The 17,074-nt window shown below is 40.0% G+C and overlaps 1 protein-coding gene across 6 annotated transcripts in view, besides 2 other annotated features; it reads right to left on the minus strand.

The window, feature by feature from the left end:
- Positions 1 to 9,882, minus strand: part of WASHC3 (WASH complex subunit 3) — a 49,285-nt gene extending 39,403 nt beyond the window's left edge. For 3 of the 6 annotated variants that reach the window (NM_001301107.1, XM_047428921.1, XM_011538423.2), the window contains exons 1-2: positions 9,670 to 9,882; positions 9,006 to 9,104 (exon numbers count right to left, since the gene is read on the minus strand). In NM_001301107.1, the coding sequence (NP_001288036.1) occupies positions 9,006 to 9,104; positions 9,670 to 9,720 (150 nt within the window). In that variant the 5' untranslated portion in view covers positions 9,721 to 9,882. The remainder of the gene's footprint in view (positions 1 to 9,005; positions 9,105 to 9,669) is intronic. The other 3 variants (XM_024448998.2, XM_017019383.2, NM_016053.4) reach the window with 2 other exon arrangements.
- Positions 9,408 to 9,457: an enhancer, noted in NCBI's record as "active region_6877". NCBI's record gives its function as "activates an Ori minimal core promoter by ATAC-STARR-seq in GM12878 lymphoblastoid cells {active_cell/tissue: GM12878}" and the evidence as "EXISTENCE:reporter gene assay evidence [ECO:0000049][PMID:35858748]".
- Positions 9,468 to 9,667: an enhancer, noted in NCBI's record as "active region_6878". NCBI's record gives its function as "activates an Ori minimal core promoter by ATAC-STARR-seq in GM12878 lymphoblastoid cells {active_cell/tissue: GM12878}" and the evidence as "EXISTENCE:reporter gene assay evidence [ECO:0000049][PMID:35858748]".
- Positions 9,883 to 17,074: the final 7,192 nt, after the last annotated feature.

Raw genomic sequence — 17,074 nt, forward strand, 5'->3', positions numbered from 1 at the left:
ACAGCATGGAGAGAGATACCCTCCAGGTGGGCGAAGGAGAGGCAGTGAGCACAGGACTTTGCCTTGGACCACAACACCAGGCCCACCCCAGCAGAACTCAGTGCTGAGCAAGCCCCCTCAGCCCAGACTCCAGGCTGACACCTGCAGGCGAAGCCTTTAGGCCCATCCTGGCACTAGGCTGGATCACCCAGTCCTGAGTTCTAGGCTTGTCCCACTGGGACCGTAGGTTCCAGACCAGCTCAAGGCTCAGGACAGTCCCAGCACCAGGCAAGACTGCATAGATTGTCTCCAGGTCTGCTCTAGGGACAGGCCAGCCCCAGTGGCCCTAGGTTCTGGACCAATCCCAGCACAGGGCTAGCCTCCATGGGCCCAAGGTTCAGGCCCACCCCAGCACCAGGTCAGCTCCTGCAGATATAGGTTCCAGGCCTGACCAGTGCCAAGTCAGCTCCTGTGGCCCCAGTCTGGCTCCTGCAGCCCATACCCTAGTGGAAGTAGGGTTTAGGCCCATCCCAGTAGGCCCTTCTGTTGGGCTGACACCCATAAACACAGGCTCCAGGACCATCCCTGTGGACTCAAGTTCCAGGCTAGCCACTATTGCCGTAGGACCCAGGCCAGCCCCATGTAGCCCAAGTTACCAGGCCAGCACCTATAATCTCAGGCTCCAGTCTGGCCCCTGTGACCCCAGGCTGCACACTTGCCCCAGCACCAAGCTGGCCCCAGACAAATCCCTGTGGTGAGTCAGGGTCTAGGTATGTTCCAGCAGACCCAGAGTCTGGGACCACCCCAGTAGATTGCATTGCCAGATTGGCCCCCATGGACGGAGGCTGCAGGACCACTCCTGCAGACTCAGGCTCCAGGCTAGTCACAGTACAACCAGGACCCAGGCCCACCCCCACATACTCTGGCTCCAGGTCCACCCCAGGGGTTCCAAGCACCAGGCCCACCTTGGAACCTGGCCAGACACTGCAGACTCAGGCTCAAGGCTCACCCCAGTGCCAGACCAACCCCTGCAGACTTAGGCTTCAAGTTGGAACCCTAAGGATCCAGGCCCACCCCTATAGAGCTAATCAGCAGGTCCACCCCAGTGGATCAGGCTCCAGGAACAACCCTACGAACCTAGGCACCAGGCCAGCCTACCCAAGGACTCCAGCAGCAAGCCTGCCATGCACCACAACAGATGGCCTGTCTAGAACCTCTGGATGAGCTTACTGGTGAAGGGCTTTCCCAGACAAAGCCAGTCTGCAAAGACTGGAGTAAGTCCTTACTTCTTCAAACACACACATACCAACACATGGCCACAAAGACCAAGAATAATCAGAGAAACACGTCACTACTAAAGAAACAAATCACCAGTAACTGACCCTTCTTCACAACGAATCCAAAATTATTGTTTTAGGGAAACTCAGTGGACTTCAGGAAAATTCAGAGAAACAATTCAATGAAATCAAGAAAATAATAAATGACCAAAATGAGAAATGTAACAGAAAGATTGGAATTATTATTTAAAAAATCAAACAGAAATTTTAGAGCTGAAAAAAAAATGTATACAGTCAAATTCAGAATATTCTAATACTGTCATGGTGATTAAATCACTTATATCTTTAGTATGAAAGTTAACAGACAAAACTATTAAAAATAATAATAGCTACAATAACTTGTTAAGGGATATGCAGTATAAAAAGATATACGTTGCAAAATCAAAAGCAAAATGTGGAGAGGTGGAGTAAAAGTGCAGAGGTTTTTTATGTTATCAATTATGTTATTATCAGTTTAAAATAGCCTGTTATAACATGTTTTATGTCAGCCTCATGGGAACAACAAAGCAAAAACCTAATAGTAAATACACAAAAGATGAAAAGTAAGGAATCAAAGTATATCACTAGAGACAATCATCTAATCACAAAAGACAGCAAGAGTGGAAGAAAGGAACAAAAGATCTATAAAGCAACTAGAAAACAATGAACAAAATCGCAGCAGTAAGTCCTTATCTATCAATAATTACCCTGAATGTAAATGGACTAAATTCTCTGATCAAAAGACACAGATTGACTGAATAGATACAAAAATAAGACCCAACTACCTGCTGTGTACAAGAGACTCACTTCACCTTTAAAAAATGGACACACATAGATTGAAGTGAAAGAATGGAAAAGAGCTCAGCACAGTGGCTCACATTTGTAATCCCAGCACTTTGGGATGCCAAGGCGGGAGGATCCCCTGAACTCAGGAGTTTGAGACTAGCCTGGGCAACATGGTGAGACGCCGTCTCTACAAACACCATGGACATATCATCCAGGCAGAAAATCAATAATGAAACACTGGCCCTAACAGACATATGTAGAAAATTCAATAAAACAGCAACAGAATACACATTCTTCTCAAGGGCACACAAAACATTCTCCAGGTTATATGATATGCCACAAAACAAATTTTAATACATTTAAGGAGACTGAAATCGTATCAAGTATCTTTTCTGACCATATTGGTTTGAAACCAGAAATCAATAATAGAAGGAATCTTGAAAAAAATCATAAATAACTGGAAATTAAATAACATGCTCCTAAACAACCAATAGGTCAAGTAAATTAAAAACGAAATTAAAAGTATTTTGAGACAAATGAAAATGGACATACAACACATCAATACTTATGGGAGGTGGCAAAAGCAGTTTTAAGAGGAAAGGAAGCTTCGGCAGTAAAGACCTATAACAAAAAAGATGAAAGATCCAAAGTGTAACATCCTAGTGTTACAACTGAAGGAATAGAAGAACAAATAAAACCCAAAGTTAGTAGAAGGAAAAAAATAATAATGATCGGAACAGAAAAAAATGAAAGAGACTAGAAAAACAATAGAAAAGATCAATGAAACTAAGAGCTGGATTTTTGAAAAGAAAAACAAAATCCACAAACTTTTAGCTAGATTAAGAAAAGGAGAAGATTCAAATAATATCAGAAACGAAAGAGATGTTACAACTGATACCACAGAAATACAAAGAATTGGCTTTTTCAGCCACAGAGCTCAATGCAGCTCAGTGACGTTATAAATGCTAATGAACTTAAGGTCTGATGTGTGTTTGAAAGAATCAGCGAAGCTTTTCTTTTTTCTTTTGTTTTGTTTTTTTGAGATGGAGTCTTGCTCTGTCACCCAGGCTGGAGTGCAATGGCGCAATCTTGGCTCACTGCAACCTCCACCTCCCAGGTTCAAGTGATTCTCCTGCCTCAGCCTCCCAAGTAGGTGGGAATACAGGTGTGCACCACCACGCCCAGTTAATTTTTGTATTTTTAGTAGAGACAGCATTCCACCATGTTGGCCAGGCTGGTCTCGAACTCTTAGCCTCAGGTGATCTGCCCACCTGGGCCCAAAGTGCTGGGATTACAGGTGTGGGCCACCGTGCCCCACCCATCAAAGCTTTTCAAGTAGATAAGAAGTATCTGAATATGGGACCACTGATATATTCAGAACAGAAGTTTTTGCTTTCTTTGTTTCTTTCATGGTGGTAGCTGGGGTGAATTTTTAGATGGTCCCAATTTTCTACAGGAATGTTTAGATGAGAATTTTTTGTTTCTGTCCTGTGGTTGAGTTGGTGCCACAGAGAATTTCCATAAAATTCAATTCCATTATTTAAAATAGTTTTTTTTAACTAGTTTTTCTATCAACCAGCCCCAGTCTGAAACTTGACACAGTGTTAACACAAAAGAGCAAGTACTTAATCTTCGTTCACATACTCTACCTACAAAGACATGACCTACAGTAGTTCTTCAAGCAGGTCAGTTTTAGGAGACGTTAATTCTATCTAACTAGACTAGCTATTTCACAACTATGTAAGACAACTTTATAAACTTTGCTTTAACTTACAAAGGTCATTTAATAATCCCATTGTTTTGACGATTCTAAAGATTGTAAGTTTATTTTTACAGTCTACTCTTAAATATTACTGTTGAGGCATATATATGGCAATGGTGGACTTAATTCTGCCTAAGATATCTGAGCATCTGTAGTAAAATATGAAGCTACCTTCATTTGGTTGATATGCTAAAGACATTTTTAAAAGTATCTCATTTTTTAAAAACTTGGTTTGTGTGTTTTGTATGCTCAGGAATTTTTCCACAGTACTGGAGACCATTGCAGTGATTAAATTTGGCCCTTTTGACAGAAAACAGAACAATGCATTCCTAGGGATAAAAAAGGGGTGACTGCAAAGGAGCATGAGGGAATTTTTGGAGTGATTCTATATCTTGTTCTACAACTATTCTACATCTTGATTATGGTATGATTATGCATTTGTCCAATCTCATACTTAATGGTAAATTTTACTGCATATAAGTTCATACTCCAATAAACATGACTTTACAATTAAAACAAAAGAAATATGAAGGCTCATAAGAGATTGCTATGACCAATTATATGCCAACAGATTGGATAACCTAGAATGGATAAGTTCCTAGACACATACAACCTATCAAGACTAAATCATAAAGAAATAGGTAATCTGAACAGACCAATAATAAGTAGAGAGATCAAATCAGTAGTTAAGTCTCCCACTAAACAAAACCCCCAGGACTTGATGCCTTCACTACTGAATTCTACCAAACATTTAAAGAAGAACTAATACAAATCCTTCTCAAACTCTTCCAAAATACTGAAGAGGAGGGGAAACTTTCGAACTCAATTTAGGAGGCCAGCATTATCCTGATTCCAAAGCCAGACAAATCCACTACAAGAAAAGAAAATCAAAGGTCAATATCCCCAGTGAACATAGAAGCAAAAATCCTCTACAAAATACTGGCAAGCTGAATACAACAGCGCATTAAAAAGGTCATTCACCAGGATCAAGTCAGATTTATCCCTGGGATACAAGGATGGTTCAACATATGCAAATCAGTAAAGGTGATACATCACATTAACAGAATGAAAGACAAAAACCGTATGATCATCTCAATAGATGGAACAAAGGCATTTGACAAAATTCAACATCCTTTGATGATAAAAACTCTCAACAAATTAGGTATAGAAAGAATCTAGCTCAACACAATGAAGGCCATTTATGACAAGCCCACAGCTAGCATCATACGCAATGGTGAAAACTGAAAGTTTTTCCTCTAAGATGAGGGACAAGACAAGGATATTCACTCTTACCCCTTCTATTCAACATAGTACTAGAAGTCCTAGCTATAGTAATTAGACAAGAGGGAAAAATAAAAGGCATTGAAATTGGAAAAAAGGAAATGAAATTGTTTCTGTTCGCAGATGGCATGCTCTTATATATTGAAAATCTTATAAAAAATTCCACCAAAAAATTGTTAGAACTAACAAACTACTTTGGTAAAGCTGCAGGATATAAAATCAACATACAAAAATCAGTAGCATTTCTATACACTAAAAGTAAACTATCTGAAAAAAAAGAAAAAAAATCTCATTTACAATAGCTACAAAAAAAATACATAGGGGTAAATTTAACCAGTGAGGTGAAAGATCTGTACACTGAAAACTATAACACATTGATGAAAAAAATTGAAGAAGACACAAATAAATGGAAAGATAACGTGTGTTCATGGATTGGAAACATGAATGTTGTTACAAGGTTGACACCACTCAAAGCAATCTACAGACTCAATGCAATCCCTATCAATTTTCCAATAATATTTTCACAGTAATAGAAAAAAAAATCCTAAAATTCATACTGAACCACAAAAGACCCTGAACAGGCAATGCAATATTAAGCCAAAAAAACAAAGCCAGAGAGATCACACTCTCTGATTTGAAAATCTACCACAAAGCTACAGTAATCAAAACAGCCATAGACCAAGGAAACAGAATAAAGAGCCCAGAAATAAATCCATGCATTTAAAGTCAATTGATTTTTGAGAAAGATGTTAAGAACACAGAAAAGACAGTTACAGAAACATACTTTTCACAGATGTTAAGAATAACAGTCTCAATAAATCATTTTGGGACAACTGGATATCCACATGCAGAATGAAATTAGACCCTCATCCTTTACCATATAAAAAAATTTAACACGAAAAGGATTCAAGATTTAAATGTAAGACCTGAAACTGTAAAACTACTAGAAGAAAACATAAGGGGAAAGTTGCACGACATTGGTCTGGGCAATGACTTTTTTTGGATATAAACCCCAAAGCACTGGTAACAAAACCAAAAATAAATAAATGGGATTACATCACACTAAGAAGTTTGTAGAATCTGGATTTTAAATTATTTTTTAAAAATTATTTTAAAAGACTACGAAGCTTTTGCACAGCCAACGAAACCATCAATAGAGTGAAGAGAACCTATGGAATGGGAGACTATATTTGGAAACCATATATGTGATGAAGGGAACCTCTGTACACTGTTGGTGGGAATGTAAATTAGTACAGCTATTATAGAAAATAGTACAGAGGTTCCACAAAAAATTAAAAATAGAACTACTATATGATCCAGCAATCCCACTTCTGGGTATATATCCAAAGGATGTAAAATTAGTACATTCAAGAGACATCTGTACTTGAAAGTTCACTGCAACATTATTCACAATAGCCAAGATACGGAATCAAAAGTGTCCATCAATGGATGAATGGATTAAAAAAAGTGGTATATATACACAATGGAATACTATTTAGCCTTAAAAAAGAATGAAATCCTGTCATTTGTGACAACATAAATGAACTGGAAGACATTGTGTTAAATGAAATAAGCCAGTCAAACAGAGACAGATACTGAATGATCTCACTTATATATGGAGGATAAAAAAGTACAACTCATAGAAATATTGAGTAGAATGGTGGTTAGCAGGGGCTTGGGGTTAAGAGGATTGGGGAGATGCGGTTAAAGGATACAAAATTTCAGTTAGGCAGGAGGAATAAGTTCAAGAGATCTCCTACATGTCATGGTGACTGCTGTTAATAACAATATATTGTATTGAAAATTGCTAAGAGAGGCGATTTTAAGTGTGCTCACCACAAAAAAAAGTAAGTACGTGAGGCATTGCTTATGTTAAATAGCTTGGTTTGGCCATTCCACAATGTATTCATATATCAAAACATCATGTTGTACATCATAAAAATACAATTTTTACCTGTCAATTTAAATAAAGAAATAAGATTTTTGAAAAAGGACAAAAGGCAATAGACTACCTTTAAACTTCATGAGGTTTTGATGAACAAACTTTTCTCTAGAGTTCAAAGAAGTACTAGAATACAGATACAGCCAGAACAGCTGCAGAGAAGTTGAGACAGGAACAGGAGGAGGTTAAAGAGTGACTCATGAGGCTTTGATCATAATCTATCAATAAATGAGATGACTATTGTTTTCTTTGATCTAGTTGTCAGTAAACAGCTCTCATTCAAGAACCATTAGGCACTACAAAGGTGAAGGGCTATCCCTGTTTCAGGACAGCTCAAACAAGTTGCTTTCATAGGTGTGTTTACTTGTTGCTTTGTTCTTTATTTTTCAGCTTGATGATAAGGGCTATGGGGATAAGAGTATTTGCTTCTTTCTGCTAGTAATCCTGGGACAGTCCCTTTCCAGATACTTCTCCATCTTGCCCTGGTATAAAAATCGAAGGGTGAAAACCTTGGCTTACTGGTTTTTATTCAGTCAATTTTATATCCTAAATTATTTAGAGAGATAGTAGGAACGAAATAAAACTGACTGGAAGCAAGCACCTAGTTTCTGGCCATTAACATATAAAACTAAATTGAATTAAGCCCCTTACTCTACCAATTACTATATTTTACTTTGTCTTAGAAGGCAGAAGAAATGTTGATAATTAGACAAAACAATAACTGGAATTTCATACAAGTAAAAAATAGTTTTCCCATCTCCATGCAATTTTTATTAATAGTAGTAACACACTTAACAAAAACTCTAATTGCTAAGGCTATACCTTACATAAGACAGAATGTTCAACAGACTTACTTGTGAATATCTAAGTCCCATAATTTACTTTGCTCTTTCCTTAAATGCAATTTCAACCCATGGTTCCCATTGTCTTCCCCATCCTCTTTTGGCTTTTTAAAAGACAGGGATTCCCTGGATCCTGGATCTAGTACCTAATCCTCTTTTTTAAAACAAAAACAAAAACAAAACACTGAGTTTCTCTGTTGTCCAGTCTTGTCTCAAATTCCCGGGCGCAAGTGATCCTCCTGCCTCTGCCTCCCGAGTAGCTGGGATTACAGGTGCGCACTGCTGTGCCAGTTCTGGTACCTAATCCCTAGTTGGGTACTTAATCCTTACATCACAAGTCATTTGCAGAAAATATTTTCATTTCTATAATCATATTTGATGCCAAAGTTATGTTTCTAGGCTATCTCCTCTAGCCATCTTTTAGATCCAGAATGTAAAATAAATTTAAACAATGTGGTTTTGGGGTACGGGAACGAATGACAAATTGCAAAATAAAAACTGTTTTCAACTGTGAAATTTTAGAAGCCGGGCGCGGTGGCTCACGCCTGTAATCCCAGCACTTTGGGAGGCCGAGGCTAGTGGATCGCCCAAGGTCAGGAATTCGAGACCAGCTTGATCAACATGTTGGAACCCCGTTTCTACTAAATATAAAAAATTAGCCAGGCATGGTGGCGCATGCCTGTAATCCCAGCTACTCAGGAGGCTGAGGCAGGAGAATCGCTTGAACCCGGGAGGTGGAGGTTGCAGTGAGCCGAGATCGCGCCACTGCACTGTAGCTTGGGTGACAGAGTGAGACCCTGTCTCACAAAAAAAAAAAAAAAAAAAAAAAAAATTAGATTTCCTATTGTTCCCTTTAATCGCAATAAGCCTGACTGACCTATCTCACAGGGACCTCTAGAACACTAACTCAGTAGAGGAGGGGTGCAGGATTGATTTTAACAGAGTAAAAGAGAACCTAAGATGTGTTAACACAATTGGGTGATGAGAGGTCACGGTACATGAATAAAGACTGTAATTCTTGTTTTACTCCATTTGTCAGTCTCAGCAGTGAAAGGTGATTTCCAGGCGACTCTATAAACCAGTATCACCGGACCTACCTCCTCACAAACTGTAGAAAAGCGGTTGAGGAACTGTACAGTGTGCACCACAAATTGGTTTAGAAAAGCCACCGTTCTTTTCTGTTGAATAGCTGGCACCTGTGTTACGTAAAAACAAACATGGTTCATACAGGAGGAACGTACACAGTGCAAATCTTTTCATATTTGGACATAATCACGAGGCACTTTGCTGTGTGATATGAATTTCTTGAAGGACTGGGAATAGTCATTAACTTGTTTCCTAAGCTGTGGGTGGGGTGTCCGAAGATGACAGAGGTGCACAAAAGTTTGAGAACAGGCTCTAGACTCACTGGTACGAATTTTGGCAGGCAAAAAGCACCACACATAAACACACACAAAATCTTGGGGGCTGAATAAGAGGTAGGGCTAGCTATCGCAACCGGCGTGTGTCGCCGGCGGCAGAGAGACAAGCGAGATGGGAAGCGACAGTTGGGAGATGCACACCGTCTCCTTAATCAGCTCAGGAGGGACCCCATTTCAAGGTGGACTGTGGGGCTCTCCCTCCTGAGGCCCCACAGGCCTGTCACAAGGGCCCGAGGCCGTGACAGGGTGGGGACTCGGAAGGTGGGTGTCTCCCCGGAAAGCTGCGTCTTCCCCATCCTCCTCCCGGCTCGTCGGGAGTCTAGCACCGTCTTTTACAAACCTTGGTCAGGTCTATGCCTGACCCCATGAGAGGAAGCCCGTCCTCATCCATCTCCTCAGCGGGCGGTGGACCCCGAGTTCACCCACAAACCCCTCCCAGATGGGGCCCGCCCAACCCGGTAATCACGTCTCAACTTTCCCCCCAAGTGCCCGCCTCCGGGGCCCTTCCCGCCGGAAGAAAGCTTCTCCGCTCACTAATCACTCGGCGGCTTCCGGAGAGCCCGCCTCCTCGCTCGGCATTCTGGGATTGGTAGTTTTAGTCCAGATTGTGACGTCAATTTCGGGGTGGCGCGCGGTGGTGCAAGGATGCAGTTAGAGCACTGAAATCTTAGAAAGGAGGCAACAAAACAAAACAAAAAAACAAAGCCAGAAGTTGCGTCCTTTTGAGGTTATCCCTACTTAGTCCTGTCTGTTATATAATAACTCCGTCATTCCTTGAGCAACAATTTTTTTTTTGTTGTTGTTAATCCTAAGTGCCATATACTCTGCTAGGCTTTTACTGGGAAAACAAAGATTGAGTTTGATTGCTGCACGGGAGAGGTTTATGCCCTGAAGAATGAGAAATAAGACCTACTTCCAAAGCGTGTGTGTGTGTATACACACAAGTTCTCGCTATTTCCCCAGGCTGGTCTCGAACTCCTGGCCTCAAGCGATTCTCCTGCCTCAGCCTCACACGATTCTCCTGCCTCAGCCTCACAGAGTGCTGGGATTACAGGCGTGAGCCAACGCGCCTGGTCTTCCAAAGGTTTTTAAAACATGAAATAAAATGTCAACTACTAGATGTGAGGCACAAACCTACGGAAGTGACTGCCACTTACAGGGAGCATCAAAAAGATGAAGACCAAGACTGCAGTGGGCAGTTTTGTTTTAAAGATGGGGGGTCTCGCTTTGTTACCCAGTCTGGCGTGCAGTGAGGATCATAGCTCACCTTAGTCTCAAACCCTTTGGCTCAAATGATCCTCATGCCTTGGCCTCCCTAAGTGCTGGGATTATAGGTGTGAGCCACTGGCACCTGGCCTGTTGGTTTGGTTGAAGCAAATAATCCCATAAATGGAGAATGGTAGGAAATGAGGTAAGAGTGTTACTGGTGGAGGGTGTCCAGGTTCTTTTGAACAAAGAATTGGACAAAACGCACAAATCAAGGAGAGAATGAACCAACAAAAGCAAAGATTCATTGAAAACCAAAGTACGCTCCACAGTGTACTGGATACAGAATCTTCTTAGGTCCAAATACCCACTAGAGATTTCCCATTGGACACTGGTGTTCTCCTCATGCAAATGAAGTGGTGGCCCACAATCAGTCTGATTGGTTATGGAAAGCAACCAATCAGAGGCTGAAGTAAAATGACAAAGGTCATACTCCTATACAAACATCTGATTGGTTGTGGAAAGCAACCAATCATTGGCTAAAGTGATGTTACTTAGTTGCACTTCTATGCAAAGGAAGATTTGGCCCGCAATCAGTCTGATTGGTTGAGGTACTTTCAATTTCCATCTGCCTGTCAGAAAAGGTGGGGATTTGCAAAGGGAGTAGCCGCTGGTCCTTTTGTTACTTAGGTGTGGAAATTTGGGGTTTACCTTTTGATTTAGTTCTAGGAAGTCAGCGTGAATCGGCGTTAGGTTCCCTGCCTCCAGACCCTATTCTGCCTCAGGAGACGTAGCCAGAAAATTTTCGTTTAAGGGCCTTTTATGCCAGATTTGATACTATAGTCCATGTTTATCTAATGTGATTCATAGGCCATCTGTAGCAATTATTTGGGTGTGGGTGGTGTTTCTTAAAGTTGCACGTTGCCCAGCTTAACCTTAGCGTGATCACCTTCTCCTGATTGAACTTTCTTAATTTTTCTTTCAGGAAGGCAGATCTTCTCTGGTTTTCTTTGTATCACTATGGTCATTTCCTTTCAGTTTCTTTTGCTGGTTGCTTCTTATGTCCCCAATCTCTAGAGTTTCTCACATTTATATATCTAACCCAGACCTTACATTGGAAGCCAGTATAGCTGAAGCAGAGTGAGCAAGGTGGGGAACTGAAGGACATGATGGCTAAAAGTTATGTGGAGACCTGATCATGCAGAGCTTTATGGGACATCATAAGGACTTTGGCTTTCACTCTGGGTATGATGGGAAGTCATGGAAAGATCTAGAGCAGAGAAATGATGGGAGCTACAGAAGAGCTTTTAAGCAGGGGGTGGCATGATCAGAATTGCATTTCGGGACATTCTGTTTGGTACAAGGTAATGAATGTGACTTGAGGGTAGGTGGCTGAACCTGGAAATGTTGCATAGGTCTAACAGTCACTCTTTACTCCATCCTCCTTTACATCTAGTCATTCATCAAATCTTACCTCTTCTACTTCCTAAGTAGTTCTTGAATCAGTCTGTAACTCTCCATCCTTACTGCCATATCTCAAGTTCTGTACAACACACTTTTGTGCCTGGGTTACTGCAATAGCCTCTTCCTGCCTCCATTTTGTGTCTCTCCAAGCTACTCCACACATTGTAGCCATAGTGATTTTTAAAAAGACAAATCTGATTATATTACTCAGGATATAATTTTGTTCCCCATCTCCCTCAGATACTATGCTCACAGGTCCTCTCTGTGGCTCTTGGCCACTTCTTTAACCTTACCTCTCACTGTTATAACTTTCTCCTTAGCCCCAAATAACTTCTTTCAATTCCTGGAATTGCTTGCTGTGTGTGGGTCTTTCAAGATGTTGTCTTCCCTCTGCCTGGAACAATCTCCCCTGCTTCCCAACAACCCCTGCCTGGCTAACTCCTACTCATTCTTCACATATCTTCTCTCCTTTATCCTTGGTTTTCAAGTTTGAATATAATGTGCGTGGGGTATGGGTATGGTTTTCTTTGTATTTATCCTGCTTGTAGTTTGCTGAGCTGCTCAGATCTGTGGGTTGGTGTTCTAAATCAAATTTGGAAGAAAGATTTTTGGCCATTAATTCTTCAAAAAATGTTTTTGTCATTTTTCTCTTTTTCTGGGACTTCAAAAATACTTGTATGTTAGACTGCTTGATTTTGCCCATAGATCACGGTGCTCTGCTCATTTCCCCCCAATCATTTTCTTTTCTCCCTGTGTTTCAGTGTGGATAATTCTTACAAACCTATCTTCAAGTATTTTCTAGTTTCCAATTTAACTATTTTCTAGTTTCCAATTTAGTTCCAGAACTCATCTAATAAGTTGATTTCAGATGTATTTTTTTCTAAAAATCTGTTTTTTAGAGTTTGTTTTTCTCTTGAAATTCCCTTCATTCATCTTTTCCTCTATATTAAAAAAACCAAATTTATAAGTTTTTAAAAAGTCCTTATCTAATAATGCCAATTTCTGGTTCATCTATGTGCCTGGTTCTATTGACAACTTTTTCCTAATTATGGGTTATGTTTCCTGCTTTTTAGCATGTCTTATAATTTTTAATTTTATTATGGACATTGTGAAAAAAAGAACAAAGTTCAGTGAGAAATGGAACATTCAGATTCATTCACAATTTGAATTGAGCTGATGCTGGGCTGCAGCTTTAGATTAAGTTTACCTGCAGTTAATTCAATTCAACCTCCTGCAAAGGACTGAGCTCTTGGATCTTGTCTGTGTTAGAGAGGGATGGGCCATAGTTTCAGATCATTTGGTTCACCTTCGGATTCAGCTTCAGCAGGGCTCAGGAATCCAAGCACCATAAGAATGTGCAAGATTTAGTGAATTCTACTTACCGAAAACATTTCCTCCATTACTGCTTTCTTAGCAATCTTAGGGGTAGGGTGTAGGCCCAAGTGATTTATTTTCGTGATTGAGGTCCTTCCAGACCCAAGTCTGTCTCACCAGCTTGTAGCAAAGTCTTAGCCACTTTCTCCTTAACTCTGCAAAGTCTCCTAGAGTGTTGCAGGCTTGTTCTTCCATCTACTTGTATCCAGACCACGCCCTTCTCCCTGGGCATGGCAATGCCACAGCTCTCTGCTCAACTATGTTCCTCCAAACATAGGCATGACTATAGAATTTATTTCATTAAGGTCTTACATACATGGCTTTTCAACAGCCCCATAAAAAGTATGATTTTTATCTGGTTATTTCTTATTACCACTAAATAAAAGGCTTTCATGCATCTTTCTGTATTCGAACTAGTAGCAGAAGTCTTAACATTCCATCCTTAGAGCTTTCCCAAAGCCACACAGATTAGATTAACTGTTCTTACATGCTTCCATAGCATTCTCTGCTTAACTCTATCTTAGCACATATAATTGCCTGTTTGCTTGAAAGCCTACTATATTACCAATTTAGGGCAGAGTCTCTGTTAGTTCACCATTAAGGTCCTAGCCCAATGTTTGTCCTATAGTAAACACTAAGTATCTTCTGAGTGACATTTGGGCTTAATGAATCTTGTACTTCCACATCTTACTTGATATTTCATTAACCTTTGATTTAGGTGGGACTCATAACTCTGGGTACTCAATCAGTCTCCCTGAGCAGAATTCCCCACTGGTCAGCCTAGCCTTCTTCTCTAGAGCCAAGACAGGCTCCCAGCCAGGAGAAAAATTAAGACAAACCAACACAGCAACTTCATGGTTATAGTTATGTATAAGTAGCAGGCATTTATATATGTGTATGTGTGTATATACATGTATATGATATGGTTCTATACACAGTTATGGGCCACAAACCATTTCATCAGTGATGGACTACATATTAGAGGATGGACCTATTATAGTAAAAGGTATAAGTGTTTTTCATACATCTTTTCCATGTTTAGATACACAAATACCATGGTGTTACAATTGCCTATAGGATTTAGTACAGTAACATGCTATACAGGTTTGTGGCCTAGGAGCAATAGACTATCAAAAAAAATTTGTAAAATGGTTTAGTTTTTAGAGTGGCAGTTTCTTTGCCTCCTAGGATCTTTGATGATTACTGTTCCATCCTTAGCTCCTGAGAGCAGGGCCATTCACATTTTAATAACTGATTTCCAGGACTATTAAAAAGAATCTATACCTAGAAGTCTTGGCCAACCGCCAGATGAAATAGGTACTCTTTCCTTCAGGCTTTCTTGCACTGGTAAAAATGAAAAATATTACCAGATTTCATTTACTGTAGTGAATTTTGGGGGCAAAATAGATTGTAATGAATACTGATTTCAAAGACTATATGTGCCACCTCCATATATTCATTTAATAAAAAACTAAGAATTTTTCAATTTCTTGAAATGTTCTGGTAATAAGATTACCAGAAAATTGCTGTTATTTACTTTTATCACAGGTATGGTCTTGGGTGGGGAAACAATAAAAAATCGTCCCCATTTTTTTTTTTTGTTGTTGTATTTCTCCGTGCTTTGCTTCAGGATGGAACAGTTAGAGAGGTGTGGTGTTGATTCATAATAGTGGGAAAATAAAATTAAATGTTTCCTATTCTTATTCCCTCCTCAATCCCATCTCTCAGGAGTGATACCAATAATCTGTTGAGACTTGGTTAAGTGAAGGAATTCTAGCCTTGTTACTTCAATTGTGTTAAGAATTGTTTCCCGTTATTCCTTTAAATTGTTCTGGCTTTCTTAACTTTGTACAGAAAATTGAGTTGTAACCTTATATCCTCTAGGCAGGAGACTTGATTCCACTTTGGAAAGCTAACTACCTCAAGAGAAGAGACCTAAAGATACTTATAGTCAGCTATTCCCCAGTAAAAGAGCAAACAATCTAAATTATCCTGCCTTCTTTGAGGGGATTGGGAAAAGGTCTCAGTGTACTCATTTGTACTCATGGGACTTTTACTTATGGAGACAACTAAGTGATACACAGGGCAATGCTATTGAAAGAATTTAGTACTTACAGTTCCCAAGAGGGCACACCATGCCATGCCAGGCCACAGGGGAAACACGAGTTTGGTCAGGAGAAAGAGGCAGAAGCAAGGGGACTTCTTAGGAGCAACCATTACCATTTTTATAGAGCTATGGTACTTTATCTTGAATTCACTGAGTGATATTTTTCCCCCTTTGGTGCAGTAGTAATTAGGTAAACCTCAGTCCTGAGTCTTTGCTTAGTTTTGTACATTTCGTTAGCACTCCGTCCTCTTCATAGAATCACCATCTCCGTTTATTTTTTTTTAAAGCAGCAAATGATGCCACTATCAGCTGCTTCTAATTAACCTCCCCTGGCTGTGTCTGTAAATGACTCAGCACCTGGACTTCTTAAAGTGGTCAGGTTATTTTGAATCACAACCATATAAAATCACTTAAAACTACTCAGAAGTTCAACACCAACATTTCTTCCCGAAGCTTTGTTTCTAGAGTTTAAAAGGATCATGCTAGAGCCTTTGCTATCAACTTTAAAAAAATAACTGGGTCACAAGTTAAAAGCCAGTCAATCCAGGAAAATGGTTCATGGTGTTTTCCAGCATGAGAAGCCCTTTTAATAATATTAAAAACATTTTGAAGAACATCGATGATGATTGTGGTTGGACATCTAATGTTCACTGAACAAACACATATACATTATTGTGGGAAATTTAAAATAGGAATATAGGTGAGCTCTATTGGGAAATTAATCTTAAAATCCCAAATTTTCATTCAAAGATAGTATTTCTCTCCATTTCATTTTCCAGGCTAGGTTTTATTAGTTTTCCTGTAATATATCCTGCCTTAGAAAGTCTTGCCTCCTGTATATCACATAGGAAGGAATGGTTAAAGTACACTGGCTTATTTCCAAACACCAGAGCTAAATCTGAAGATATGTAGTAATCAGGTTGACAGACACATCTCCACATATCTGGGAACGCTTTTTTGCCCTCTCAAGATTGCTGAGTGAAATCTACAAAAGCCACTATCTCTGAATGTGAATGGAGAGTTCCTTGGCTGGGTCATTCCCCTCCTTCCTGTTATGGTGTTTTGGGGAGGAAGTGGAAGATGGCAAGACACCTTAAGTCAAAGTCTTTTAGGAACATGTAAGTAAGTTTGATTTTGGGGCTGTCTATATTATCTCAGGACCCCAGGAGGTCACGGCTTCTAAGAAAAAAGAGAATTTTGCTAATGGTAGCATGAATATAATTTTGAGAAACCCCTGCAATAGTTCCATATTCTCCCAGGTACTTACCACCAAGGTTGGGGAGCAATGACCCAGGGTTACATGAAAATTATGTATTCATAAAATATATCTTAGTTATTGTGTTAGGTGGGTATAATGATGGGAAAAGAAAGAGGTCAAAAAACAGTGACAGAGTTCCAGAATTGTTCCATTGTCTTGGGGTTTAACGTATTTGTGGGTTAAGTCTAGGATGAGGTGAGACCTCTGAAGCAGCTGTCTATATAACCACATTCTGTACTTGCTCAAAATCAAGGGCCAGGAAAATCTTATTAGACCAATCCAATATTAGAGCTCTACAGATTTCAGGTGAGGGGTACTCCCACAGACGTTCCCTTG

The sequence above is a fragment of the Homo sapiens genome, chromosome 12 (genome assembly GCF_000001405.40).
Source record: "Homo sapiens chromosome 12, GRCh38.p14 Primary Assembly".
NCBI lineage: Eukaryota > Metazoa > Chordata > Mammalia > Primates > Hominidae > Homo > Homo sapiens.